Source organism: Homo sapiens, chromosome 1, assembly GCF_000001405.40.
Source record: "Homo sapiens chromosome 1, GRCh38.p14 Primary Assembly".
In the NCBI taxonomy this organism is placed as follows: Eukaryota; Metazoa; Chordata; class Mammalia; order Primates; family Hominidae; genus Homo; species Homo sapiens.
This window is the reverse complement of record NC_000001.11, coordinates 115327409-115354217: the sequence shown is the minus strand read 5'-3', so window position 1 is coordinate 115354217 and position 26809 is coordinate 115327409. Positions and strand designations below refer to the sequence as shown.

At 45.9% G+C, this 26809-nt stretch overlaps 1 protein-coding gene and 1 long non-coding RNA gene across 3 annotated transcripts in view; one reads left to right on the top strand and one right to left on the bottom strand.

Moving 5' to 3' along the window:
- NGF-AS1 (NGF antisense RNA 1) overlaps positions 1 to 26809 on the bottom strand; it is an 85039-nt gene that overhangs the window by 13855 nt on the left and 44375 nt on the right. The window lies entirely within an intron of this gene.
- The window catches only part of NGF (nerve growth factor), a 52333-nt gene continuing 41492 nt past the window's right edge, over positions 15969 to 26809 (top strand). For both annotated transcript variants that reach the window (NM_001437545.1, NM_002506.3), the window contains exon 1: positions 15969 to 16014. The gene's annotated coding sequence lies outside the window, so the exon portion shown is untranslated. The remainder of the gene's footprint in view (positions 16015 to 26809) is intronic.

Here is a 26809-nt window from a genome sequence, read left to right as displayed (position 1 = left end):
GGCGGGCACTGGTGGAGTAAGCAAATTGGCTGACAACTTCCCATGCCAAGTCCCAAGGTGAAAAAGAAAGCAACCCCCTGATTCTCGCTTCTTACCTCATGTCATCTGTGGAGGGCTCCCATCCTGTGGACCTTTTTCACTTAAGGCCCAAAGGTTGAGAGAAGCAACAAACAGGAAAGGGATTCCCCATGGGCCTTGCACAGAATCAGACGTTGGCAAACAGAATCAAGTCCAGAACTAAGAATTACAGTACCTGATACTCTCCCCGGGCCTCCTCTCACCCCTATACACCTTAAAAACTGCCCATATGTAACATATTTAGGAACACGAACCATTCTCAGTGTCCTCACTGCCAGGAATTTTCTCTCAGCATCTACACTTTGCTTTGTAACCCTAAGCCAGTTCCACCATGGAAAGCTGCTGGGCACCCTGGATGGGACAGACCAGGAAATTGCTGATTTCACCCTGAGCTCCCTCAGGCTGATGACCCACCTGTGAAGATCTGATACATTGGACCAGAAAGCACTACAACATCCCAGAAATCCAAATGCTCTCCATTAAGGTAGTTCAAGTTCGTGCTGTTAAGTTAATTTGTCCAATTACAAGGAAAACATTTGACTCTGATAGCTCTCTTTGCAACGTCCCATACTTCGAGGGATTAAAATTCCCTCAAATATACCAGAGAGTGTGTGCAGTTTGGCTTCCACTCAAAGGGGTTTAAGAATCCTTTGGCTCAGTCATTTAGCAAACCTTTATTGAGCAACTACTATGTGCCTGGCCCAGGGACCACTGCTGGGCACTTAGCACTCCCCACAGGAGACAGACAAATCATGACAATAGCAAGTGGCCATTTTTCAAAACGAACAGGCATACCTGGCACCATGGGAGCAGAGTGTGGGGTTCAAGGCAGTACACTCTGCTCCACATCGGGGCTGACTTTCTGATGACCCAGAGTCTACTCAGGTTTTATCAGCACTCTGGGGTCCATTTTATACTCAGACTCAAAGTGCATCAGGATGCTTCCCGATAACATGAGCCCATGCCACCCATCACACATCATCACATCTAGGGAAGTCCCCTCAGTGATGGAGGAAGTTGCTTCGGGGACCCTGAGCATGTGCAGTCTGGCTGGGCGGGAGGAGCCATCCCCTCTGCAGTCCTCCCCATGCTGAGACCCAGAGACCTTGAAGGTCATTAAGGGGCCAGAGGACAGTGAGTGCAAGCCAGCTTGCCGGATGCACTAGTCATTCAAGCAGTCACACTTTAATGCAAGAAATATTTCTGCTGTGCCTAGTGTGTGTCAGACATTGCTCTGGAGTTCGGGGCTGAAATAGGACAAATATTACTTCCCCACAGAGCTTACATCCCAACGCAGCAAGTCAGACAACAAATAAGAATAGCAAATGCTATTACTGTGCGCCTGCTCTGCCTGCTTCACATATTTCACCTTCACCACCAGTCTGTGAGGTAGGTGCTATTACTAACCCTCTTTACTGACAAGGAAAATGGGGCACAGAGAAGCTAGGTAATTTCCTCAAGGGAGCTAGCTAGGAAGTGAAGGAGCCATGGATTTAACTTCTGTAAGTAATACAGAGCTCAGTTTTCAAACAACTACACTGCCACAAAATAAATCAGTTGCTTATACATTGTACTACATGATGATATATTCAGGAGAAAAAACATAAGGCAGAGAAGCAGGATAAGGAGGCTGGGGTGCGGTGGGGAGAGTGGGGTGTGTATTTTTAATTACAGTGGCTGGGAAAATCCTCAATATGAAGGATGCACTTGAGCAAAGACTTGAAAGAAGTGAGGGATGTCTTGGGGAAACATCTTGGGGAAGATGTCATGGGGAAGAGCATTCTAGAGTACTTAGAGAAGAGCACTGCAGGTGTCTTGGGGAAGGGCATTCTAGAGTAGACAGCAAGTGCAAAGGCCCCGAGGGCAGCATGCCTGGAGTGTTGAAGGAGTGAAAGTGGAGGGAGAGGGAAGGTAGAATGAGGTGGGATCAGACAGGTAATGGGGCTGGGGGCAATGGGGCACACCATGCAGGACCCTGGAGGAACCTGAGGAGGATGAAGTGGGCTATCCTTTGAATAAGATGGGAAACTGTGGTTGCTATTATGCTTTTAGTCAAACAGTTCCATTCTTCCCCTCTGGCCATACGATAGGATTGCCTGTTTTTGTCCCTTTGAAGCTATATATGGCCATATGACTTGCTCAGCCAACAAAATGAGAGTGGAGGAGATGTGTTCACTTCAGGCAGAAGCTTTAAGAACCATTGTGTGAAATGCGCTGACAGTGTTGCTGCTTTCAGTGACTTCAGGAGTCTCCTTCAGGCTCAGTTCTCAAGGGACTGTGACGAACAGAGCCCTTCTGCTCTACCTCATGGGACATGTGGTTTGAATGAGAAATAAACTTTGTTTGGTGAAGTCACTGAGATGTTGATGTTGCTTGTCACCTGAGCATAATCTAGCTCAAACTGACTGATGCAGAGACCAAGGGAAGGTTTTGGGAAGATAAGTTTTAGCAGGGTCAATCTGGCTGGAACTGGTGTTCAGAATAGACTGAAAGGAGACAAAGTTGGATGCAGAGAGAGCAGTTAAGAGAGTATTGCTATAATCCAGGTGAGAGATGAAGATGATGGTCTATTGGATCATAGTAACATGGGAGGCAATGAGAGGTAATCATGTTCTAGATATTCTAGTGGAACCACTAGGATTTGCAAATGAATCAGATATTAGGTGGAAAAAGAAAAGTCAAAGATAACCTCAAGATTTTCAGTGTGGACAACGAGAAGGATAAAAATGCTCTTGAGCCTCCAAACCACCTGCTACACACACACACACACGCACACACATACACGCACACACACACACACACACACACCTTAAAAAGCAAACCGCAAACCCTGTTCCTTATTTGGCAAGCAAAGGAGTTATTCCTCTCGAATAAGCATTGCCCTTTACAGGCAGTTTATGTCAAAATGAACAGACTTATGATAGAGGTTGCCTTATTGTGGATCAATTTATTTTAGCAACTTTCAATTCAAAGAAACCCTTGAAATCATATAGTCCAAGCCACTCATTTTATCTGAAGAAACTGGGGTCCAGGGAGATAAATGATCTTTCCCAGGTTCAAGTAGAAAATGAGTCGAGTTGACATGAAAATGGGTCGAGTTGACATGAAAATGGGTCGAGTTGATATCCAAAGATTCCTGACTGCTAGTGCAGTGCTTTACCTCCCGCCTCATGTCCAGCCTGGACAGGGGATGTTCCTAGGTGTGCATAGGCCTTGGAGGGGATGCAGGGAGGAGAGGAGAGACATTTAAAAGGAGTGTTACCTCCTTCACTGTTTTGTATAGACCCATCCTGAGCAGGCCTTAGCAAATATCTTCCCTTAAGGTTGCAATTACTTCCATCACACTAACCTTGACTTCACTGGTCCTGATCCAAATACCAAACCTGAGAAGAAAAAGTATTAAAAGAAACTAAAAAAATACATCCTGCTCTGTGTGTGTGTGTGTGTGTGTGTGTGTATGTGTGTGTGTGTTTGACACCTACAAAGCATGGAACACATTCAGGTCCCTTCTTCACTTTGTCTTGTTTGGTGTCTTCTTGCCCTGCCAGCTTTGTGCCATTCTTCTTGCAAAGCATTCTTTGAGCTGCTCCGCATGGGTCGGGCACAGCTAGAAACAGACAGTGCCAACACATCTCTTCGTATCCTAGCACAATGTATCTTAGCACACTAACTAGAATCATTTGTATTATGCACTTCTATGACATACTTTAAATTTGCGAGATGCCTGACTATAATTTTTATTATGTTTTTATTATTAGTTTTACCTTTTAAAACAGCTATTTGAAACCATTAACATTGGAACCCTTCTCTGGCTTTTTGCAAACCTTGGACAATGCCCATTTTTAGTGACTATTGTTGTAGACCTGCTCTGAGGTCTAGGGAAGCCAAACCACCTTTTTATAGTCAGTGATTGGAGATTTCCCAGGGATGACAGAGTGGTGAGAGGCAACAAGGAGTTTAGACCTGAATCTCTTCTTCTAAGAAGAAGGCAAAGAATAACCTGAAGAGGAAAATGCTACAAAAGAGAGTCACATTGTTAGAGGCCAAATAGCAATCCTCAGAGCCATCAGCAGCTGGAGGGACAGCTTATAATGTTTACCAGGCCCTAGTATTGGAAAAATGTGTAGAATAAACTGAAATTGTGTTAACTTTTCTTTCTGAAGTTTAAACGAATATCTGCATTACATAAAAGTGCCAAAAAGTATATCAGAGCCTATAAAAATGTTAACTAAGACAGGGTGTTTCCAATGAACTTGTTTTCATTGGAAAAGAAATGTCCCCATAAAAAGACATGCTCTGTGCCTCATTTCTCTATTGAGAGATCTGCAAATACTGCACTTGATGTGCAGGGTAAACCTCCCTTTCTTCCAATACAAACCAATTTTGTCTTTCCCTCCATATGTGCAAGGAGTGTGGTGGAAAGATCACTAAAGCTGCAGTTGGAACAGTGTGACATTGTGTGCTGTTCCTGGACACGCGACCTGTTTCATATATTAACTGCATTCTAAATTCCATTAATGACAATGCCATATGCGCTTTCTTTAGTTTTACCTCCATATATACCTTTATTCCACCTTAACAGATCCCAGCTGTTATTAAAGAACGTGGTTTAAGTCCCATCACAACAAATATTTCTCTACAATGAATGATCCCAAATAATAGCCCATTTCTTGGAATAATTTTACTCAATTCAATTTAATGACTATATTTGAAGACAAATTCTTCCAAGTACTATACTGAATTCAGCTCTGCTGATCAGAGACAAAAAAGAAAGGCTGAATACTCTATGCCGAAGGGCTCAGTATTTGAAATGACAAAATTCCAACGTAACAAAGGAACTGTGGTTATCCCTTGAACTAATACAGGATTCCAAGTGGGAATGGTGGTTTTATCCTATAGATGCTTTAGATTTTATTATTTTCCTTCTTCCATTTCTGCAGCTTTTTGTCAGGGGCCTATAGTTTCTAGGTTCCATTTCCAGGATAGGAGTTCTTCACCTCCAGTTGCTCCTGCCATAACATAGACTTACTTATTTCCAAGGGAGACTGAGGAGGCCTCCTTGTCACTTTAATCAAGTCAATCAGGTCTGACAGTGTGATATTAGCATCGATACCATACAACTGAATTGGGATTTATCTGCACCAAAGTACACATCAGATGCAGAGTTTAAATCAAGCCTTTGCCCCACCCTGTGGCGTTGGTGGCAAAGCAGCCATTTATTTCATCTCTGTCCAGTGGAACTACATCACACATAAGAGCTTTTCTCCTCGGGCTTCTTGTGCAAGCATTTTTTCCCTCACCACAAAATGTTTTTCTTTTTTCAAAAATGAACTTGTTGCTCCAACCAGCTTGGTTTCTGGCTCTGGGTCCAGAACTTGAGGGTAAATGGTGAGGTTGAAATGTGTTTCTAGATTCTGCAGCTTCTAAGTGGTTACCCTTTCCAAACCAGGGTGGGCCCCCTGCAAAACTGTCAAGTTGGCGAAGTCTGCTTCTCCCCCTCATTGCCCCTAGCTTGGTCTGAGCAGAAGGAAATGTGTCTGTGGAATCAAAGGACCCCCTGACTGAGCACTCACCATATGCCAAGAAACATTCCAAAGTCCCTTATCTGCACTGTCATGGTTAAAGCTCTCCATCCGCATCCTTAGCAGGGTTCTTCCACCTCTGAGGAATTCGGTGCTCAGAGAGGTTAAGTAACTTGCCCAGGGTCATAAAGGTAGGAAGTAGCTGAGGCAGGCTGGACTCACATGTAAGATAAAGAAACCTCAACGGCCACAGGCCCAACTCTGTCCCTTTAAAGCCTTCTATCAAACTCCAGCTACATTCTTTAGGCTATGTGGTACAAGGACATGCTATTTTTTAAAAAGACAATGAAGAAAAATTTTTGGCAAAATATATAATTCAGCTTCATAGTCAATATATATATACATATAATTCAAGTTATTCACAGTCGTCCTGTGACAGCAGAAAACCCCAGGTCTCACTTGCTCCCTGGGACTTGAGTTCATTGCTGGAGATGTTGCCATTGTAGGCAGTACAGGGCATACGCTTGCTTGGTGGGACCAGAGAAGCCTGTCTGTCAGGAAAATGCCTTCCCCTAATGCACTTCCTTCTTAATTAAAATAACATTTTGAAAGTAAAATTATACAGTGTGTAGAATAAACAGTACAACAATAGCTGTGATTAATCTGTCATAGATTGTATAATGTGATGCTAATAGGAAGAAATAAACTCCTGCTAAAGATCAAAGTCATCTCTGCACATGGGGAAATTTTAAAATTAGAATGCAGATAAATGAATCTCCAAACTGAAAAAAAAAGAGCTCTGCACTCTGCAGGCTCAAAAAATGAAGGAGAAAAGACAGCCTAAGGACTTCCCACAGCCCAGAGGAGCTGGGAGCCTGAAGAAGGAGTTCTGGTCTGAATCCTCGCCTTCTGTTTTTCCCAAGCATCTGGCAGCCTCTCTTTCTTTAACCTTGTGACAATCACTCAAGCGTCCCTTAGTCTGCCCAAATACTGCTAATCCCATCAGGCTCAGCCCATGAAAAGGCATGTGTGCCTGTGTATGTGTGCTGGGGGGCTGTATGGGTAGAGCATGTGTGCTGGAGCTGTGGTGGAAAAGGAGAGACACCCAAGTCTGTGCTGTGTACTCCCTACAGAGCACTCCCTACACCCTCTCATGTGCCTTACACGCAGGTGTCATTTTCATTTACAAGCATTGGACTCAATGAGCAAAGGGGCTGGAATTAGGAACTCAAATCTTGTGGTTCTAAAGCCTAGGCTTTTTTTGTTTTGTTTTGTTTTGCTTCTCTTGGGGAAAGGTGTGTCCTAAGAAAGTATGATTATCCACAGAAAGGCAAATGAATCTAAGAGTGTGCATGTAAGCATATTGTTAAGCAGCAATTAAGAATGGAATACCTACTGCATGCAGTCATGGTGTTATGTGCTGGGGATGCCAAGGCCCCTGCCACCCCAGAGAGTAGCTTGTAAAGGAGGTGGGGAGGAGAAGGGGGTCAAACGAGCAGATAGGCCTTTATAATACAGTGTGTAGACTGCAGAGTGTTGTGGAGACCCAGTCAGAGGGGATGATGGGGTCACAGAGGAGGACACCTAACCCAGACTTGGGCAGTAAGAAAGTCACATTTGCACTGAAGTCTCAGAAATGAGGTGGAGTTGGCTTAGTGAAGGAAACACAGAGCAGAGAAAGCGTCCCAGGAAGAGGAAGGAGCATGTTGCAAAGGCCCAGAAATGAGATAGAGCATTATTCATGGAAGTCAATACAGTCTGTCTGTGAGCAATCTTAAAACCTAAGCAAAATGATTTCAGGGCCTGCCCATTGACCTTGTATTCTCCCAATTATCTTCTTCACTCCATTTACAAACTATCTCCTCCATCTTTTGAGTTACCTCTGCTGCCCACTGAAATGCAAATACTCCTGCAAGAACCAGTGGACTCCAGTGGTTTCATCTCAAGCCCAGCAAGTATTCTAGGCCATTTACTGAGGGTAGGATTGAGACCTGAAGATGACCTAAGGTCCCCTAGAGCAAGGCAATTTTTGCCAGACTCAGAATTTGGCAGAAGTTGAAGTCCTGCTCGAAGCAAGCCTCTTGTCAAATAAGGGGTGATGCATGTTTCCCATTGGCTCTGTAGCAGCTCAGCCTGTAATTCCACACAACGGAGGCACATCTCCAGTACCTGAAGAGGACCTGGGAACCCCCTACTTGTCCAAAACTGCTGCTTACATAACAGTAGTACAGCTTTGAACTGAGCATGGCTGAAGGGGCACAGCTAAAGGTCATGGTGGAGTTAAATCAGCCAGCACATCTGAGTGACAAAGACAGTCTTCTTAGCTTCTACCATGCTGACAAAAATTGATTTGGTTCTTTAAGAATTTTCCCAATTATTAGTCTGTAAGGTATAGTACTGAGGGCATGAGCTTTGCAGACTGTCTTAGACCATTTGTATTGCTATAAAGGAATATCCAAGGCTGGGCAATTTATAAATAAAAGACATTTATTCAGCTTAGGATTTTGAAAGCTGCACAGGGAGCACAGCACTAGGATTTGCTTCTGGTGAGGACCTCAGGAAGCTTCCACTCATGGTGGAAGGTGAAGGGGGATTGGCATCACATGGGGATAGGAAAAATGCAAGAGAGAGGGGAGGGTGGTACCAGACTCTTTCAAATAATCAGAGCTCATGGAAACTAATAGTGAGGCTTCACTCATTACCGTGAGGACAGCACAGGGCCAGCCATGAAGAATTGTCCCCTTGACTCAAACACCTCCCACCAAGCCCCATCTCCAACATTGGGGATCAAATTTCAACATGAGATTTTGAGGGGACAAATATCCAATCTGTGATATAGATACAGACTAGGTTAGCTATTTGCTAGTTTTGTTCAACATGATTATTCAAACCCTCTGAGCTTAATTTATTCATCCATATGAAATGCATTTGTTGAAAACCTATTATATTTCAGGTATTATGATGGAGTTTAAGGTTCCTGAAAATTTTATAGTTTAGTGGGGATAGCAGATTGTTATTTATTGTACAAATGTGATAAGGAATGCATAGGTATTCTCTTTCACATTTCCCAGTTGTGTGATCCCCCCCGATTCCGCCAGGGGCATATGATTTTCACAGGGTACCCTTGGGACTGTTGCAGCTGGAATGCAAAGGGAAAATGTCCATATACATCTTTAGCAAGACATTTCATAGCGAGACAGTGGTTTTGAAAGTCAGTCATTCTTGTGAAAGAAAAAAAGGGGAAGGGATTCTGAATTTCTTAAACTCTCACAGATTATAAAGAGCCAGGCTTGGAGAGCTTGATCATAGAGTTTTATGGGAAAGGCAAGGTGGTCATCCCCTAGGGTACCCAATTGCTCTCACACTTTGGCCTGCACCTCAAGGTGGAGAGTGAGTATTATAGAAATAAACAGGAAGGAGGGAACCAGGTAACACTGGAGCGAGTGATCTGTTTCCCTGGGTTCTAGCCTCTGGGAGATGCCCCATAGTTGGTATGGTGCCAACATGGTGGACAGTGAGAGTGTGGCTTGATGGGGAGGTAAGTTCTCAGTGGAGACTCTGAGATGATGCTACTGGTTGCCTTCAGCCTGTGTGCAGTGTGCAGAGACAGCTAGCCTCGACATCATTCCTGATCTCCAAACTCCATATGTTGCACATATGTCCTTGAGTATTCCATGGGCCCAGCAAAATCCTAAATTGAAGACCCCTGCTTCCAAGGCCACTACATAGGCCCCACCTCTGGATGCTCCATCTCCATAGCCAGCACCATCATTTACCTGCTCAGGCAAATCAGGAATCCAAAGGGCACCCAGGAGACCCTTTTCTCACCCTACCCCTGCATCCAGCCATTCCCCACTTCCTGATGAATTTACACGCTAAGTTTTGTTTGAATGTCTCCTCTGCATGCTTAGCTCCCCATGCATGGATCAGGCTGCTGCCATCACCGTTCACCCTGACTATAACTACCGGCCCTAGGTGGTCTCTTTGCATTTGGTTTCACCCTTCATTATCCATGCCTTCCTCGACCTTCCCAGTGACTGATCCAGCAGTATCTCCTACCACGTCATGCCCCACCAGTTCTGAATCAGCTGCAGTTTCCCGTACGCAACATACCATCTCACACTTGCACACCTTGGTTAAAAGTGTTCCTTCTGTCTCAAATGATGTCCTTCCCAGCATTCTTCTCCTGGCTCCTACACATGCTTCAAAGCTTATCTTGGGCAATATCTCATTTTAAATGATTTATTGAGCATGTGTTTTGTGCAATATGGAGGGCTGGAGAAGCACCTAGAAAGGGCACTCAGTCTTGACTTGGAGGATCAGGGAAATCACCTGACTAGAAATGTCATTGAAGATTCTCAGAGCTGAGTTTCAGAGGAAGAGGAAATGGACAGGTGAAGGAGTAGGGAGAAGGCTAAAAGTTTTTGAAGCACTGGAAACACCATATAGGACCTGTGGGGCTGGTGCTGCTTGTGAAATGAACTGAAGTAAATTCACCACGGCAGAGGCTAGAGCAAAGAAAAGAAAGTAGCAAGAAAGGAAGATGAAGGGGCTGGAGGAGCCAGATGACACAGAGCCTCGTAAGTCTCTTCAAAGAATATGGAATTTATGCAAAATGCAATGGGATGACAACAAAGGCAAAGCTCTAAGTTGGTTGAATTTCCCATCTCTCCAGCTTCTAGATCCTCCCTTACAGATTTCTTATCAGTTTATGTGTCTGATGCCCCATTGGATAGTAGGTTCCTATATAGCAATAATCATTTCTTCTTGATCTTTGTTTCCTTGTACCTAACACAGATTCTACCCCAGGATAGGATTTTAATAAATGCAGTGAGCTCAGTGTCACCACTGAAGGGACAGAGATCTACCCAGGATGTGGCAGAGCCCATCTATCCCAGACTCCTGCATAGGAGCATCACAAATGAAAGTGTGGGGTTCTTGCCTGCCTCAGCACCACAAAACCTTAATTGTCAACATGATACCATGTGACAGGAAAGAGCAGCTGTGATGCTATGCAGGCAAACTTGATCCCTGGGGAATCCTGCCCCAGAGGTATCTCTTGGGTGGCCCTAATAGGAATGTACCAACTCCAGGGCCAGGGAGGGTTGTATAGTGAGGACCCAGATGGAGGCACACTTGAATTGGCTGTAGGCTCGTGAGGGACACTGAGGGTTTGGCTCAGTGGGAGAGGAGTGAGAGAGCCTCAGGGGACTCTGAAGAAAGCACCAGTGAAAGCCACAGGGTCACCAGGGGTTCTTGTGGAGACCAGTTCCTGTGGAGACTGGAGTCAGACCAGCCTGAAAAGGTGGAGGCTCACAGCTGTTTGAATCGGGACAGCAGAGGAGAGGATCCAGTCCCCAGAGGGCTCACCTGACTCTCCTTGCACCTAAGGAGATCATTGACTTGGTTGGCACTGACTGTGTCTGCATCTGTCTCACTCACCTGCCCTGCAACTCACCAAAATCACAACTGACTTTTATGGGCCTGGCATATAATATACATTAAATAATGCACATTTATTAAATAGGTGACGCAAATTAATATAATTTAAATTCCATGTATCTACTGGGGACTACTAGAGTGGGGAGGAAGGAAATGGGGCAAGGGTTGAAAAACTAACTGTTGGGACTATGCTCACTATCTAGGTGATGAGATCAATCATATCCCAAGTCTCAGCATCAGGCAATATACCCCTGTAACAAACCTGCACATGTGCCCCCTGAATCTAAAGTAAAAGTTGAAATTATTAAAAAATTTAAAAATAAAAAATTCTATGTGTTTATAGGCTGTTTTGTTCATTTGCTGAATCCCCAGCACCTAGAATGGGGCTGGCACGTAGCAGGTGCTTGAAAATTGTTTAACATATTCACTCCATATAATGAAAAGTAATTATTATTATTACGGCTCAAGGAGGGTCAATCTTTCTCCCAAGGACACACCACTTAAGAGGACAGATGGGCTAAATCTTGCCAGTTCCAAACTGGTGACTTTCCTGGGCTGCAGGAAAAGAGCTGAACTGTCCTGGGCCCACGTGGATTTCCTGACCTTTCAAGAATGGGATCTGTGGGGCAGCTGCCTGGCTGAGTTAAGAGCAAGGGCTTTGGATGGAGGGGCTGAGAGTCAGAGGAGAGGCAGAAACACAGTCCTCGCCAGGGCCTGTGCAGATTCGCTGAAACAAGAACCTAGGTAGTGCTTCGCACATAACACTCAAAGTGTTGGTGATTAAAGGAGAGGCCAGAGTTGAAACCATGCTTGGAATTATAAAATTAGTAGAAAAAAACACCTGGAAGAACAAGAGTGGAGGAGAATGTAAAGCCCCAGGACTGAGTTGTGGGAGGCCCATGAGTGCAGAGGGCAGATGAAATCAGAGAGGTGGCTAGTAAGCCAGGATAGTGTGGTCACAGGAGTTCTGAAAGGAAAGTTGTAGACAAAGGAGGTCATGAATAGAGTGGACTAGGACTGTCAAAGTCAGCTGAGCTTGGCTGAAAGGAGGAGGAGGCGTGGCATTTAACAGCAAGGGATTGGGTTCAATTCTCTACTCAGCCGTTTGGCTAGCTATGAGACCTGGGAAGTGACTTACCTCTCAGAGTTTCATCTTATCTACAAATCAATAGGACCAATTAATAAGGCTAGGAAAAATGCCTTGCCCAGTACTTGAAATAAGGCAAGCACTAGATAAATGCTGCTGAGATTGTGTTGGTGTTGGTGGTGTTCTTGCAACTAACGACCTTTAAAAAAAATTATCAGTTTAGTAGGGAGAAAGGAAAGGTAGGGGAGGAAGATGGGAACTTGGTTGCAGAAAGTTTCGGGGAGGGGGTGCCAAGGAAATGATGGGTATAGATTACCTTGCTGAAGAATTTGGTAGTGAATGGAAGCTAAGAAATCCAGAGTTTGGGCTAGCAGTTTCTTTAAGAGAGAAAAGGCAAGTGAATGTTCACAAGCAAAAGCGAGGGAACTAGTAGAGATGGAGGAACTGGAGATCTCAGCGAGAAACAGCAAAAGCCAGGAACAGGCCACAGGAGTAGGCAGGGATAGCCCAGAGGAGAAGGGGGCACCCCTGGCCCTCTCTGCACCCTTGCCTACTTTAGCTCCTTTACCAGCTTTTTCCTGTAGACTGAATTGGTCAGTTTTTCTCCCAGCCTCTTTCAGGGAGTGTAGTAAAAGGAAGGCTTGCTTAGAAGTCAAAAAGCCGGACACTGGCCACGTGTATTTGGCTGAGCCTTTGTCCTTCCTGAGCCCTTGTTTCTTCATCCATAAATAAGGTGGCTGGATTGATCATTTCTGTGATTCTGTGAACATGTCATCTCACTAAGCATTATGAAACATTTCCTCTTCTGAAGTTCTTCTTCACTCTGATTAGAAGGAAGAGGAAAAAAAAGTCTTTAAACGGAAGCTATCACTTCCTCCAGCAATTGGGACAATATTTCTGTGTTTCACATGAAGAACTAGCAGATCCAGTGATTCCATCCTTGCTGGCAGATCTCTGCTGAGCCTGCTGGTGTTTTAAATAGCACATGCACTTTGTCCTGGCCTCCTGGAATGAAGCAAGGGAGAAGCCAGGGGTTTGTGCTAGCTGACTGTTGCTGTTGATGAGGCACTCAATGGCTGCAGCCTTCTAGATCTTCAGAAATAACAACAATTACTGTACACGCCACAATCTCTCCTCCAAGTCAGCAAATGCATCAGCTGCTGGTTATTTTGATACCCTGGATAAAAGGCTCTTTCGAGAAAATCTAGTACAGAAAAACATTCTTATCCTCTGCTTGTCTGCACCATTCCTCTGGCCGCTGCCCTCTCAGCTGTTTTTCATTCCTATGAATGTAGCTGGTCCAGGCCCAGAAGTCCTTCTCTCAATGACCCAAGAGAAGGACATTTCTGTTTGAACCTTCTTGAAAGTGGAAGAGGCAGGGGAAAAGGCACCTGGCTGTGGTCTCTGTGCCAAAGGCAGGCTGATCTGGAACCTGCTGGAAACCAATCCAGTGTTGGTGGGTTGTCTGACAGTCACAAATGACTCTGACCGTTGTTGGATTCAACAAGTATTAACTGAGCACCTACTATAGGCCAGGTCCTATGCTAGGACCTAGGGAAACTGTGATAAACATGGCCAGGGACTAATAATCAAGCCCCCACTAGAACATAAGCTCTCTGAGAGCCGGTACCACTGCCAGCACACAGTGCCTGGCATATGGTAGGCTCTCAATCAATAATCTTTGGAGTATTTTTGTGTTTGTTGTTTACATGTTCTTATTTACTCAAGATCCTTGAAGTCCAGGGACAGAAATAGAGGTAGTTAGGGGCAGAAAGGAGCTCTTATTAAATCAACATGTGCAAGAAGAATATGACCAACAATTTAGGGGGTGAGGATGGAGCATATAAGCAAACTTATAATCTGCTTACATCACTTAAAGTTTCCCCCTTACATACCACATGGAAAAGAACCACAAGTGTCCCAAATCCTTTTGTCCTTCTGAATGATGCCACAAGAACACATACAAATGCTCTGCATTCAACAACCAAATTCTCTGTTATTCTAAAAGTTTAATTTCATACCCAAATTCTCAGGCAGCTATTATGTAAGGCTTGGGGCTAGTGCTTTCCAAACAAGTTTATACATGACATGATTGATGGATGAATTCATCCTGTTATCTGGAAATTCTTTTGTTTAATTGACGATGATAAATTTCCTAATGGATCACCTCGACTATGATACTACTTTTGTAGAAAGGGCCATTCACAGTGTTCCCTGGCCTCTTGCCCTCACTTCCAAAGTGTGTTCATACACCAGCCTGTATCTGAACAAGTCAGAAGTGGACAAGCCTAAGGCTGGGAAACAACAAGGTCACACCAAAGCTAAGGCTGACTTCCAATTCCAGGGCTTTTTGCCTATTTCATCCTTCTCAGAGCATGTGTAAATGGAATGAACTTTCTTATGGGAGCAAACGTGAAAATAGAAAGAAGTAAGACCTCAAGACTAATCTGAATCAAGGGAGTTGGAAATGCCTAGTCAGGGCTTCATCTTGCTCAAGTGCCATCCATTAAGGGTAAATGACCACCCCCAGACTTAGGACAGGAATCATCTGCTTCACTAAATCCCAGTTCCCTGGAGGGTGCCCTTCTGCTAAGTTGCACTGGCTGGTGTTACCAGCAATAGGGAGATTCTGTGCCCCACCTTCCCTCCCTGTTACTCTCCTCACACCTACTTCTCCTCTGTGGCATCCATACAGGGTAGGGGTCCAACCCACCTTTGCTATAGGAAGAAGCGAAGGCACAGACAAGCTCAACACGGGAGGGAGTGGGGCTGTAAATTTCCAAAGAGCTACGAATCCCCTGGAATGCTACAATTAATGATGCACATTTGGTGACAAATTTGACTTCAGGGGTATTTCTCCCTTGCTCATTTTATGCTGGGGTGGGAACAGCCCTGGCAGAGGGGCAGGGGAAAGTCAGGCAAGCTCTCCTGTCAGGCTGAATCGAGGGAACTCAAGAAATTTTGAAGGGTCAGGAAGAATTTGTGTGGGGCCTGGAGTGTGGAGAGGGGGGCATGGGGGCCTAGGGTTTGCTGGCTATATCAGTCTGGGGTCACAGACCCCTTGCAAAACTGATGAAAGCTGCGGACCTTCAGCTCAGAAAAGAATATTAGCATTGCACACAGTCGCGCAAATCAGCCTACAGTTTCAGAGGGGCCAAGGACTCCGGGAAGTTCCTGGAACCCAGGGCCTTAAGTTAAGGTCCCGGCTCTAGCTCCTGACTCCTGAAGTCCTCTGCCCCTTGTCCCCATGCTGGACTTGCCGGGCCTGGGGGCCTTCTAGCTGGTTCTGCAGCCGCCTTCCCTTGTCAGAGGAGCTTGGGCACCTGCCCCTCGCGGAGCTCCCCCTGGGTGCTCACCTATCCTGGGATAAGGAAAGGCGCCCCGAAGAAAAGGAGCAGCCGATGCCTGGGGCACCGAGGGCGACGCCGGGCAGACCAGGGAGGCACTGGCGAAGGGCAACGCGCGGGGGCAGGGCGGAGAGGTGAGGGAAGCTGCGAGCAACTCCGCCCAGCCCCAGCCAGTCGGCCCAACGACCCCTGCCGGTGCCCCAGAAACTCCCCCTCCCGGCTTTGCGCGCGCGGCCCCTCAGACCCCAGTGGGTTTCCCTTTGACCTCTGAAGGTTTAAAGTCCTTCTCTGGCTGGGTCTGGCCAGCCCTCCAGGAGCGATCCGTCTGTAGTCCCCAGGACCCCCTCCAGCCGGGCACCACAGCCCAGCCACAGCAGGTGCGGGGCTGGTGGTGGGGAGGGGAGGGATGGGGGCCAGGATTTGGAGCGTGTGACTCAGGAGTACGGGAGGAGGGGCTAAGAATTCAAGAAGCCTGTGTGAGAGCAGCTCGGCGCTCCGGCACAGCAGAGAGCGCTGGGAGCCGGAGGGGAGCGCAGCGGTGAGTCAGGCTGCCCCGAGCCGATCCCGAGAGGGGCGCAGCGCGGGCGCGGGCAGGGGTGGCTGGGCTTCGCGGGAGAGTTTGCAAGGATACCGGTCTGGCGAGCTCTCTGGTTACCCCCGAGGCTCCCGCAGGCCGAAGAGCAGCCCTGAGAAATGTCCCGAGTGGGTGTGGGGGCGCGGGACCCTCGCGGGAGGACGAGTCGGACCGAGGGAACAGCGTTAGTTCTGGTCGTGGAGTCCCTAGTCCCAGGATGGCCTGCAGTCCAGGGAGCAGCCCTGGCGCCTGCAGAAGCCCACGGCCATGCCAGGGTCTAGCTCGAGGGCTAGAAGTGGATAACGCGCAAGTGAGGGAGAGCGAATGGGCGCGGAGAGGGATGCGCCGGCAGCTGGCGCGCCAGGGCGGGAGGAGTGGCGGCCAGCACCGCGGGGGGAGCGCAGAGCGCGCTGGCTGAGGTGAGCGCCGAGTAGGGAAAGTGCTGCGCGGCCCCCAGGTAGGGGGAGGAGCGGAACGGGGCGCGCTAGACCTGGGGCAGTTCCCTCAGCGCGTCTCGGAAGGGCTGGGAGTCGTGACTGAGGGCCCCGGGGGTTAACGCAGGAAGTCTGCGAGCCAACGCCGGGGTCCGTCCGGCGTACCGGGGCCCTCCACGGAGCCGCGTTGGACAACCTCAGGTAGAGGTCGCCAAGGTTCAGCCCTGCCACTTGGGTCACACGCTTCATCTCCAGCTGTCTGCTGCCAGGTGTGGGAGAAGCGGGCGTGGAAGGTTAGGGCGGGGAGCGCCTTGAGTTCAGGCGAGGAGGATCTAGGGGAGGGAGAGAGGACTCAGGGGTCAGGGAGCTGCAACTTTGAGCCAGCAGAAACAAGCAGCTTAGCTCCCTCTAATTACAAACCTCCTTCTAAAAAAAAAAAAAAAAAAAAAAAAAAAAAAAAAAAAAACAAAAACAAAACAAAAAAAATTTCGAGATTCTTAAGGAAGGTGTTTCGTGCTTGAACTTTTTCTTCTCTTGTGATTTGAGAGATTAAAAAAGAGCCTGCTTGCTAGGCTGGTTTTTCCAAGTTGTTCCAGGTTGGAAGTTGTAACAGTTCGAAGGATAATTTATGAGTGTTTCATGCATTAAAGTGTATTACAGCAAAGCCTTTTGGGTGCTGTGGGTATTAAGGAAAACTTAGTGCACGTTCCCAGCTGGAAACCAAAATAGTGCTCTCCTGGGTGCCTCTGCCCCATCTGTCATCCAAGGCCAATGGAAATCCTGTAGAAAAGTCACTTGATTAATTGTTCTGGCTCCATCCTCTGGGCACACCCACTGCCAGTGCCAGTCCCCTCCTCCCCAATCCATGCACAGCCAGCTGCACTCTGCAAATGCAGAAATGACAGTGGAGACCCCATCAGTAACTTCTCTCCAGGGTCCTCAAACTCTTGAAGCCGTCAGTTAAGTCTGCTGGAAGGGAATCTTTCCCCTTCTCGAGGCAGTGCAGAAGGGCAGCAGCCATTGGCCCCTGCCAGCCCTTCTTATCCTGTGTTTACAGTTTCCTCCTGAATGTCTGAAACTTTCTCCCTCTGCAGAGTCACAGAAGAAAGAAGAAAGGCTGTATCAAACCTGATGGGTCTCTTTTGTTGAATAAGTCATACGTCAACCTGAGCAACCCAAATGTCAATTCATGATGGGCAGTGTTTCCAGAGGGTCAGAGGAGACAGGCGGGTCTGGGGGCTGAGACTGGCCTAGCTGGAATTGACTCACACAGAAAGTGAACATTCCTCTTGTTGAAGGGGGATAGGGTTAATGCCACATGTTGCCAAACTCCTACCCCACTCTTTCCCCAACATCTTTATGCAGGTGAAGGGAAAAAGGAAGCACCAAAAATGGGAAGCCAAGATCACTGGGGCATGAGAACACTAATTTGACAGAAGTATAGGAGCACCTCAGAGGATTTTAGAACCAGCTGCTGGCACCACTGCATTTCCAACAGCAGCCCAGGCCCACCAGAGAAATGAACTGGGCCCACTCAGGGCAGTCATCCCGGTATTGGTGACTCTTTCCCTACTTTTAACCTGTACCAAGGAATGAGGTTCTTGCCTTCTCCTATTGCCCACCCCACAACTCTCCTGCCCCAAGGGCCAGTGGGAGCAAGGAATGAGGCTTCACACTCTCATTCTCTTTCAGGGAGAAATCTGTGCCTTGGACAAGAAGGGGGCCCTGGTTGCCGACATCAGCAGGGAGAGTAGGGTAGGGCAGGGCAGGGCTGGAGCCCGAGGGAAGTTTCTCATCATTACCGAGAATAAACTGATGAAAAAAATCACACAACTTTACTTTTTAAAGAGTGCTGAGCACTCCTGCTGCTCATTGATGGAGTGCTTTACTGCAGTACCCTGCATCAGAGCAGCAGGGAAACTACACAGAGATTCAGCCACTGCTCTTCTCTACTGGGCATGGAGTAGGGCCAAGGCCCAGATCCCCAAGCAGATGTCAGTGCCAGACCTGGGAGCAGAGGCCCAGCCATTTACCTTTTCCAAGTAAGAACTTTCACTGACTTCAGAGTCTAGAGCAAGCCTTAAGAGACCTTTGCTGGCAGCAAATTCTCTGATCTCAGGAAGCAGTGGAAGGTTTGCTGACGGCTTGCATAAAATCTCTGGATATCTGTGTGCAAACAACCCATGCTCCCAGAAAACACCTTTCTGTGACACAGAAAGAGTTCCTGTGTGTTTCTTTCACTAGCTGATCTCACAAACCATCAGCTCTCAGGCTTAGCCAGTTCTGAGAAATCACTTCTGTGGTGGACCATTTTGAGAAAACAGTGTACACTGGCATTGGGTAAATAAATGAGGATGAAAGACCCTTCCCCAATCCATTCCCATGAGACATCGCTTGATAACAGTGGGAAAATAGTTAAGATCCTAACTCCAAATAGCAGTAAGGCCAGGATGATCCTGAGGCTGATATGTGAATGGAGAAACTGAGGCTTTGGGGTCCTCGGTCTTTTATTAGGCTGTGCAGAAGCATAGAAACGTCACTATTTGAGCCGAGGAGAATAAACCTTCAGCCACAAAGTTTAGTGAAGACCAGAAGAATGAAAACATGCAATGGAGAAGACTTTCTGGTGGTTCGTGATGTTTTCATTGCTCCTCTCTGGGCTACTTTACATGCTTTTGAGGCCTCAGACTAGGACACAGTAGGAATCAGATTAAAATGTTAGGATGATCCCTTGATATTCTTCTCCTATATTTTGGGTAAACTTCCTGTTACAGTTTCCTCACTTGTGAGAAAGGAAGGGAAGTAGCTTTGTGACCTTGAGCAAGTCGCTAAGCTTCTCAGGCCTCACTTTCCCAACTCATTAGGCAAGTATATTGGATTTATATTGTTTCTGAATGGAGCTGTCAGCATTTTGGGACAATTCTTGGTTAAGTGTGACCAATCTGCACAGTGCAGATAGTTTAGTATTCCTGCCTCACCTCCTAAATGTCAGAAGTCATAGTGACAACCTCAAATGCCCCTCATAAAGGGCTAAGTGTATTCAAAGATAATGCTGCTCCCAGTTGAGAAGTCTTTTGGAAATTACCAATAAGGGCCCTATTGTTGGGGTTTCTGTGGTTAATCATCAAACTGGGGCTCCAGAAGTCAATTCCTGGGCTTCATCCTCCAAGAGCCAGCAAATCAGACTCTAGGCCACCATCGGCAGGGACCTCAGTGCTGTAGTCCCACCAAGTGTCATCCTTTGCCTTTTGTGAGTGAAGTGGACTACAAATGACCCATGGGAAAAGAAAATCAGAAAGAGTAAGGTGAAGGGACAGGTGCTATTAGAGCATGGCAGCTTCCTACTCTGCCATATGTTATTAAAAACACAGGCAGACTGCATGCCTGTGGAGTCTGCAGCACTGGGAGGAAATCCTTCCCTCCTTTGCTAAGTGGATCACACTCTGGCATCAGGAGGTTCCTTCCCTGAAGCAGAAGCCCCCAACACTGACCGCACTTAATACAACATGAGTGCACATTGACATCGAATTAATACAACTGTGCCCAAGCTGTGAAAATAAATGAGAATTGATAACGTGACATTTCCTTGAAAAAAAGTAGGCTAGCAACACTACACTCGAGGGATGGTGCTTGTGGCACTGGGTTTATTCTCAAGTAGAATAGCTCATTATTCTCACCTCTGCTTCAAGGTCTCATTGGGGGACAGAAAATAGAACTATTTGTTTATTTATAGTACCTAGGGTTAAAATGAATAATGTCTTCAGAGGGTAGGAGGGTATTATAGGAACACATGCTTTCTACTCATGCCCAACTCATTACAAGTAGGAGTGAAAAGGAACTGCAGAGCTTGGCGCTGATTTCAAATGAGGGAAAAAAAAGAAAGAAAAGAAAAGAAAGAGAGAGAGAAGAGAGAAAGAAAGAAAAAGAGAAAGAAAGAAAGAAAAGAAAGGAAGGAATGAAGAAAGAGAGAGAGGGGGGAGGGAGGAAGGAAGAAAGAAAGAAAGAAGGAAAGAAAGAAAAGAAAGAAAGAAAGAAAGAAAGAAAGAAAGAAAGAAAGAAAGAAAGAAAGAAAGAAAGAGAAAGAAAGAAAGTCTTAAGGAGCTCCCTCCCCAAATGAGGTTGATCTGATGATGAAATCTGTCAGGTGGAACTAGCAACAATGCTTTTGAATTGCCTAAGACTGTAGCCAACGCATTCACGTGCGGGAAGTCTTTTTTTTTTTTTTTTTTTTTTTAGTAGTACTATTAGTCAGAGTCAGACAGTCAGGATTTCCCTGAAAATCCACCACTGGGCTAAGCAGATTGAGATGTTTTGGCACTTTTGGCACCGCCTGTGGTGGCTTCTGCAGGTGGAGAGCCCTGCGAATGAAAGAAGCTGGCTATGAAATCAGTGGGAATGAACCACCCAAGTTTCACACAGAAGCCCTTCCACATTGGGCAATTTCAATCCACTACTACAGGAACAGTTTCCCAATAACCACGAAGTATTTGTTGTCAGTACAGATGGGCTGATTTTCCCATTTCCTTTGGCTGCTCCTTCAGTAGTCAGAGTTGGTGGTATAGGTCACCTCCCCTCTGTGTGCAGTTGCTAAGTGAGCCCAGGGAGGATGGTCTCAAGAGCTCAGCCCTTGCCCAGGTTAGGGGGTGGGGGAGACTGTCCTGACTTCAGTTCTTCATCATTACAGATGGATTACAACCCTCATTAGTAATGGAGTGACTTGCATGTCTCACTTGCTCAGTCTAGTGAAATGCCAACCCATTTTTGGATCTGAGCAGACCTGGCTGAGAGGTCAACGATTGAGGTACTGCCTCATCACTATGGATATGTATTGAACCCCCATTGTGTATGAGTGATGCCAAGTGGGACAGGCTCCCTTTGGATTATGGAGAACACTTTCAGAAAAAGAAGTCACACTGTTTCTAGCTGCCTGAGAGGTGCTGGACTAGATAAGCAGGGGGAAGGACGGGGTACTCCAGGAAAGTGGAGACATAGGAGGGCCTCTCCTGTCCCTAAGTTTTCTCATCTGTAAGACAAAGATATTAGTAGTAGCTATGCTGTCATCTGGCTGTTGTGCACATTAAGTGGGAAGGCATAGGCAAAACAGCAGCACAGGCCTGGCATGAGGGGGGCACCAACGAACATGAGCTTCCTCCCCTCACGTTCTCCCTTGGAAGGGCTGATCTGAGGGGAGCCCCCACTTCATAGTTGTTTTTTTTTAATTTCAGGTAGGATAACATCTTTTTTGTATGTTTTTAATGTATCTGTGCATATATAGCTTTTCTGTTTTGGGAGGAGAAATCTTTTTGGTTGCATTGAAGACTTCTCTAGGAATTTACTCACTGATATTTTGACCTTCTGTAGTTAACATTCTCATTTTGATAGAATTTTAACCAAACATTTCATCTTGCGATTTATCTTCGCCTTGTAATGTCTGGGTAAGAGAAGACTCACGGAGGTTCTCCTGTAATTTTCTTTCAGAGGCAAACTTCTCCTCAGACTCTTATTTCAGAAATGTTATGCAATGCTCTCTAAATAAGGCATTTCTTGAGAATGACCATGTTTGCTTGCAGCTTTAAGAATGTTTTGCTTCCTTACTCCACGTAACAACTCCTCTGTGTCTTTAGGATTTTAAATGTCTTAGGAATTCTTCAAGTTTACAAGAAAAGAAAGAGAAAGTGAATTTTGCTATGGCAGTGGGGCATTTCTGCTCTCCCAGACCAAGAGCCAAGGGTTAAGCAGCTGTTGCTGAATTACATAGAACCTGTGGTTAAAGGGGAAGATTGTCCTCGCCCCACAGGGGAGGGGGCCCACCATGTATGAGGCTACTGGATAGATTTTCTTCTCTCAATTAGCATCCTTATTAATATGCTACCTGGGACACTGGGCACTCTGGGGACTCAAAATAAATATAAATCATGATCCTGCCCCAAGGAGCTTGCTCAGGAGTCATAACTAAAAGGCTTAGTGGCTCATGAGAGAATATAAATGAGCTGAGGCCAGAGATTGCTGGGGCTGTGAAAAACTAGAGAGGCTATGCCTCATTGTTAAGGGACAGGCCAACCATTGCTGTAAAGGATTATAGGTCCAATACAGATCTCTTCAAGAACTTTTCAAGAAAAGCCAAAACTTTGAGACTGAAAAGCCAAAACTCTGAAATTTCTTCACTTTCCACACATGGGTACAGACCAAACAAAATTTGTCTGCAGGCTTTTTAATCTTCTTATGTGAATTAACACATGGAGCAATTGCAAGCAGTATCAAAACTGGAACTAGTGGAAGTACTAATTCTGTGAATATATGACCTCCAAGAGGGACAGGTCTGGATGTCAAGAAGGCTTTCAGGGAGGCTCCTCGGAGGGCAGTGAGGGGCTGTCCCATAGGCAGGTAGGATTTTACAGGAGTCCTGGCACACAGATAGAACTGGATTTAGGTCCAAGTTCACTTCTCATTAGCTCTGTGAGCACATTACTTAACCCCTGTAAGCCTCAGTTTCTTCATCTGTAAAAGGGAATCATGATGCCAACTGATTTTTGAGGGCAATTGTGAAGGGGAAAGGAGAGAGTGCTGGAAAGTTCTTACCTCAGAGTCTGGAATATAGCCAATGCCCAGTAAGCTGAGGCCCCTTCCCGATGTGGACCCCCTCATTGACATTGCAGACAATTGCTTTTCAAGGATTTTGAATTGCTTTTTCTGCCCCAGGAAAAGCACAGGAGGTCTGGGTTATTTTTCTCCTCTGCTGCCCTCTTCTTGCTTCTCCCCGAGGCCTGTGGCTGCTTGCCCAGTTGCCCTTTGTCAGAATCCCACCCTTTAAAAGCCTGACCTGGGCCACAGCAGAAATCACAACCCTACTCAGTAAGGAGAAGTACTCCAGGAGGCTGTATAGACACGCACGGCAAATATTTAAGGAATTCTTAGGAATAAAAAAAATTCGTAAATCTGGATTTTTGCATGAGGCCATCACAGGAACATGTTTTCTCAATTAGCGTGCACATTGCTTGGAGTGAAGTCACCGAGTCCACAGCCCATCAGGGCTGACTCGAGCTGAGCCACCTGATCAGACTTCACTTTCCATGACCTAAATGTGATTCAACCAACCTGCCACTGCCCCTAGCTGCTGAAACAAAATCATCCCTGAAATCCCAAACCAGGGTGGAGATGTACATGCTCCTCTGAAAAGCAATCTAATTTCAGATCCTGGTTGTATTCACCCCAAATTGAGAAAGACAGCACTACTCTGGAGGGTGGATTGATAGAGTCACCACAACACCTTGCATGTTTCTTTTCTTTTACCATTTATTGTTAGATGGCGACTGTGTGTAGCCTTTCAGAACAGATGACTTCTTTAGGTTCTGAAAACAGAGAAAATAGTTTCTTTTGCTAAAGCATACATCAATTGCCTAAAATATTAGCAGTCAGTGCCTGAGATGAGTGATTATATATTCTGGATGGTTTCCTGGACTGACTCTTTTCCAAGCAAATGGCTTTGTCAGATATTTGTAATTTCTGAAATATTTTATTAATGATGTCCTCTTGCCAGAGGGATGGTCCAGAGTACACAATTAGCTGCATGCCTCAGAAGCGAGATGCTGCCCAGCATCCACTAAGATCAAGCAGGAGTTCAAGGACACTTCTAATCAACTGCCATAGAGCAGAGAACAGAAAATGTTTTTACAAGTTGAAGGCCGGGTGTGTGGCCCATGCCTGTAATCCCAGCACTTAGGGGGCTGAGGCGGGAGGATCACTTGAGGACAGGAGTTTAAGGCCATCCTGAGCAACAAAGTGAGACCCCATCTGTACAAAAATAAAAATAAAAAAATTAGCCAGGCATGGTGACATACACCTGTAAGTCCTAGCTACTAAGCAGATTAAGGTGGGAGAATCACTTGAGCCCAGAAGGTTGAGGCTGCAGTGAGCCATGATCATGCCACTGCACTCTAGCCTGGGCAAGATAAGTGAGACCCTGCCTCCAAAAAAAAAAAAAAAAAAAAAGAAAGAAAGAAAAAAGAAAACAAAATACAGGTTGTGAAATCAACTTAGTGTGCAACTCTCATTAGGGAAAAAAATGAAAGAGCATAGAGTAACATTTTCAAAAATTAATATGCATTGGATATAGCAAGGGAAAATTTTTATGAAACTTTTGTTTTAGTTGTACTGTATGTATGTACATATACATATATATGCAAACTGGCTCATGATGGAAAATGCATTTTTTTTACTATAAGTCATAGTCAAAAAAAGTGTGAAAGCCACTGGCATAGACAACAGCATGATTTCGAACAGCGGATGGCTCTGAAGCCAGGCAAGCTTGGGGTTAAGTCCCAACTCTGTGATTTGCAGTTGTGTGATCTTGGGTAACTTTTGTTCTCTAAGCAACAATGTCCTCATCTGTAAGGTGAGACTAGTTTCTCTCTTGTATAGCTGTTGTGTAGATTAAGTGACAAAGTGTATGAAGTACATCTGTGAAGTACATACATAGATGTATGAAGTACATACTATGAAGTTCTGTGCCTGCCACCAAGGACACCCTCAGTAAGTGAGAGCTGCTGTCATCATCTGCCTTCCCCTTGCCCATTCCTCCTCCTTCTCTTCTTCCTCTCCTTCTCTTCTTCTTCCTCCTCCTCTTCTTTTCCCTTCTCCCTTCCTCTTTCTACTTCCTTCTCCTCTTCTTTTCCTCTTCTACCTCTTCCTCTTCCCTCTTTCTTATCTTCATTGTAACTACTCAACCTCATCAGAACTATTGACAATGTTTTTATCCCTAAGGTTTGCTTTTTCTCTGGCAAACACAGCAAAGAAGCAACAATAATCGTATCCTGTCTTTGGCCCCACCTTCTGCACTGTCTTTCTCCCATTTCATGCTTGCAAAGCCATCTTTCTTTGATTCTCTTCCCCAAGCATGACCATAACAGTAATTGTCCAAGGGGCACAAGACATCCTCCTCCCTGTCACTGGGCACTGACATTGGGTAGCATGGCCTTTCATGGCCTTGCCACTGGGGTAAACGCTTTGGTCCTAGTGTGGGTTCAGTGACTTTGGCAGGAGCTTCTGATCCCACAAAATCATATCCTTCCCCTTCAGTATATTTTTATAAGAACAACAGGGCTAAGATACCATTAAAATGTTGATATTGTCAAAATTCTAAAGAAGTTTCTGCCCAGAGCAGAGAGTCTAACATTTTCTCCTGAGCGAGGCTCCAGGCTGCCACAATGCAGAGGGTTTCAATTTCTCCCCTGGTATAAACAGTTTAAAGGCTCTTAATGTGAATGCTGGAGCTGACACCTTCAGGTAAACCCTGATCCTAACTCCAGCCCTCAACCCAATGGGCAATCTATCACTGACCTCAGACCTTTGGTTCCCAGTGGAGGGCACATGAAAGAGTGACCCACACCAAGATTCTACCTTAGGGCCACAAAGGTGACATGTCCCAATTTTCTTGAGAGCCTGGCTAATGTAGCCTCTGAGGACAGATCAGTGATGACAAACTGCCTACCTCTTAGTTCTCATGGAAGCTTAGCCTGCCCCCATTCTGTATTCACCCTTGTTCCCCCAGGGCTCATTCCAACTCTCTCCCTAGTAAAATGCCCTCCCACTGGGCCCCATTTTCACCGCTAGTACTCAGAGAGGATTATTAGTGACATCTCCTCTCAAATGCTGAATTCCTGTCCAGACCAAAGATTTAATGCTGCTTTTTAGGCAGCTAAGATATCTCTATTTGAGGTTGCAAGGTAGTGGGACAGAAGGCGAGAAAAGAGACCTGCTTCTAGGGATAATGTTCATCTTTTTAAGTGTATCCTCTTCTCTCCACCGCTTATTCCACTATTGCCTGTAAAATTAATGTCGCCAAGCCAGTTGTCCATTTCAAATAATATTTATAGCAGAAGAGAGACATTTGTCACATCATGCCCTGCCCCCACCTCCCAAGCAGGTGAATGATATTGAGCCAAGCACCAGGGAGCTGGAGTGGACTGCAAACAAGCCAGCAGAGAGATGTTTAAATTCATTGCTGTTGCACCTGTTTTTAAAGGAAAAAGCAAAGGCTGACTTACTTTTTTTGTGCTGAAAAGGTGGCGGGGAGAGTGTATTTCCACCCTTTCTGAAAATTGCAATGACAAATGGAATCAATTGCCCCTGAAATGACACACCACTAAGAATGTTTCTTACGCATGAAACGAATTACCTTTCCTTTCACCTGTGTTCAAGAGTGTTGTGTTTGTGTTTTCACAGGGAAAGTGTGAACACTAGAAATGTTTTCATTTTCTGTTTTGAAGAGGTCAGACTCCAAAGCTTGACTTCAGATTTCATGCCCATGTGTCAGCATCTCTGTGTCT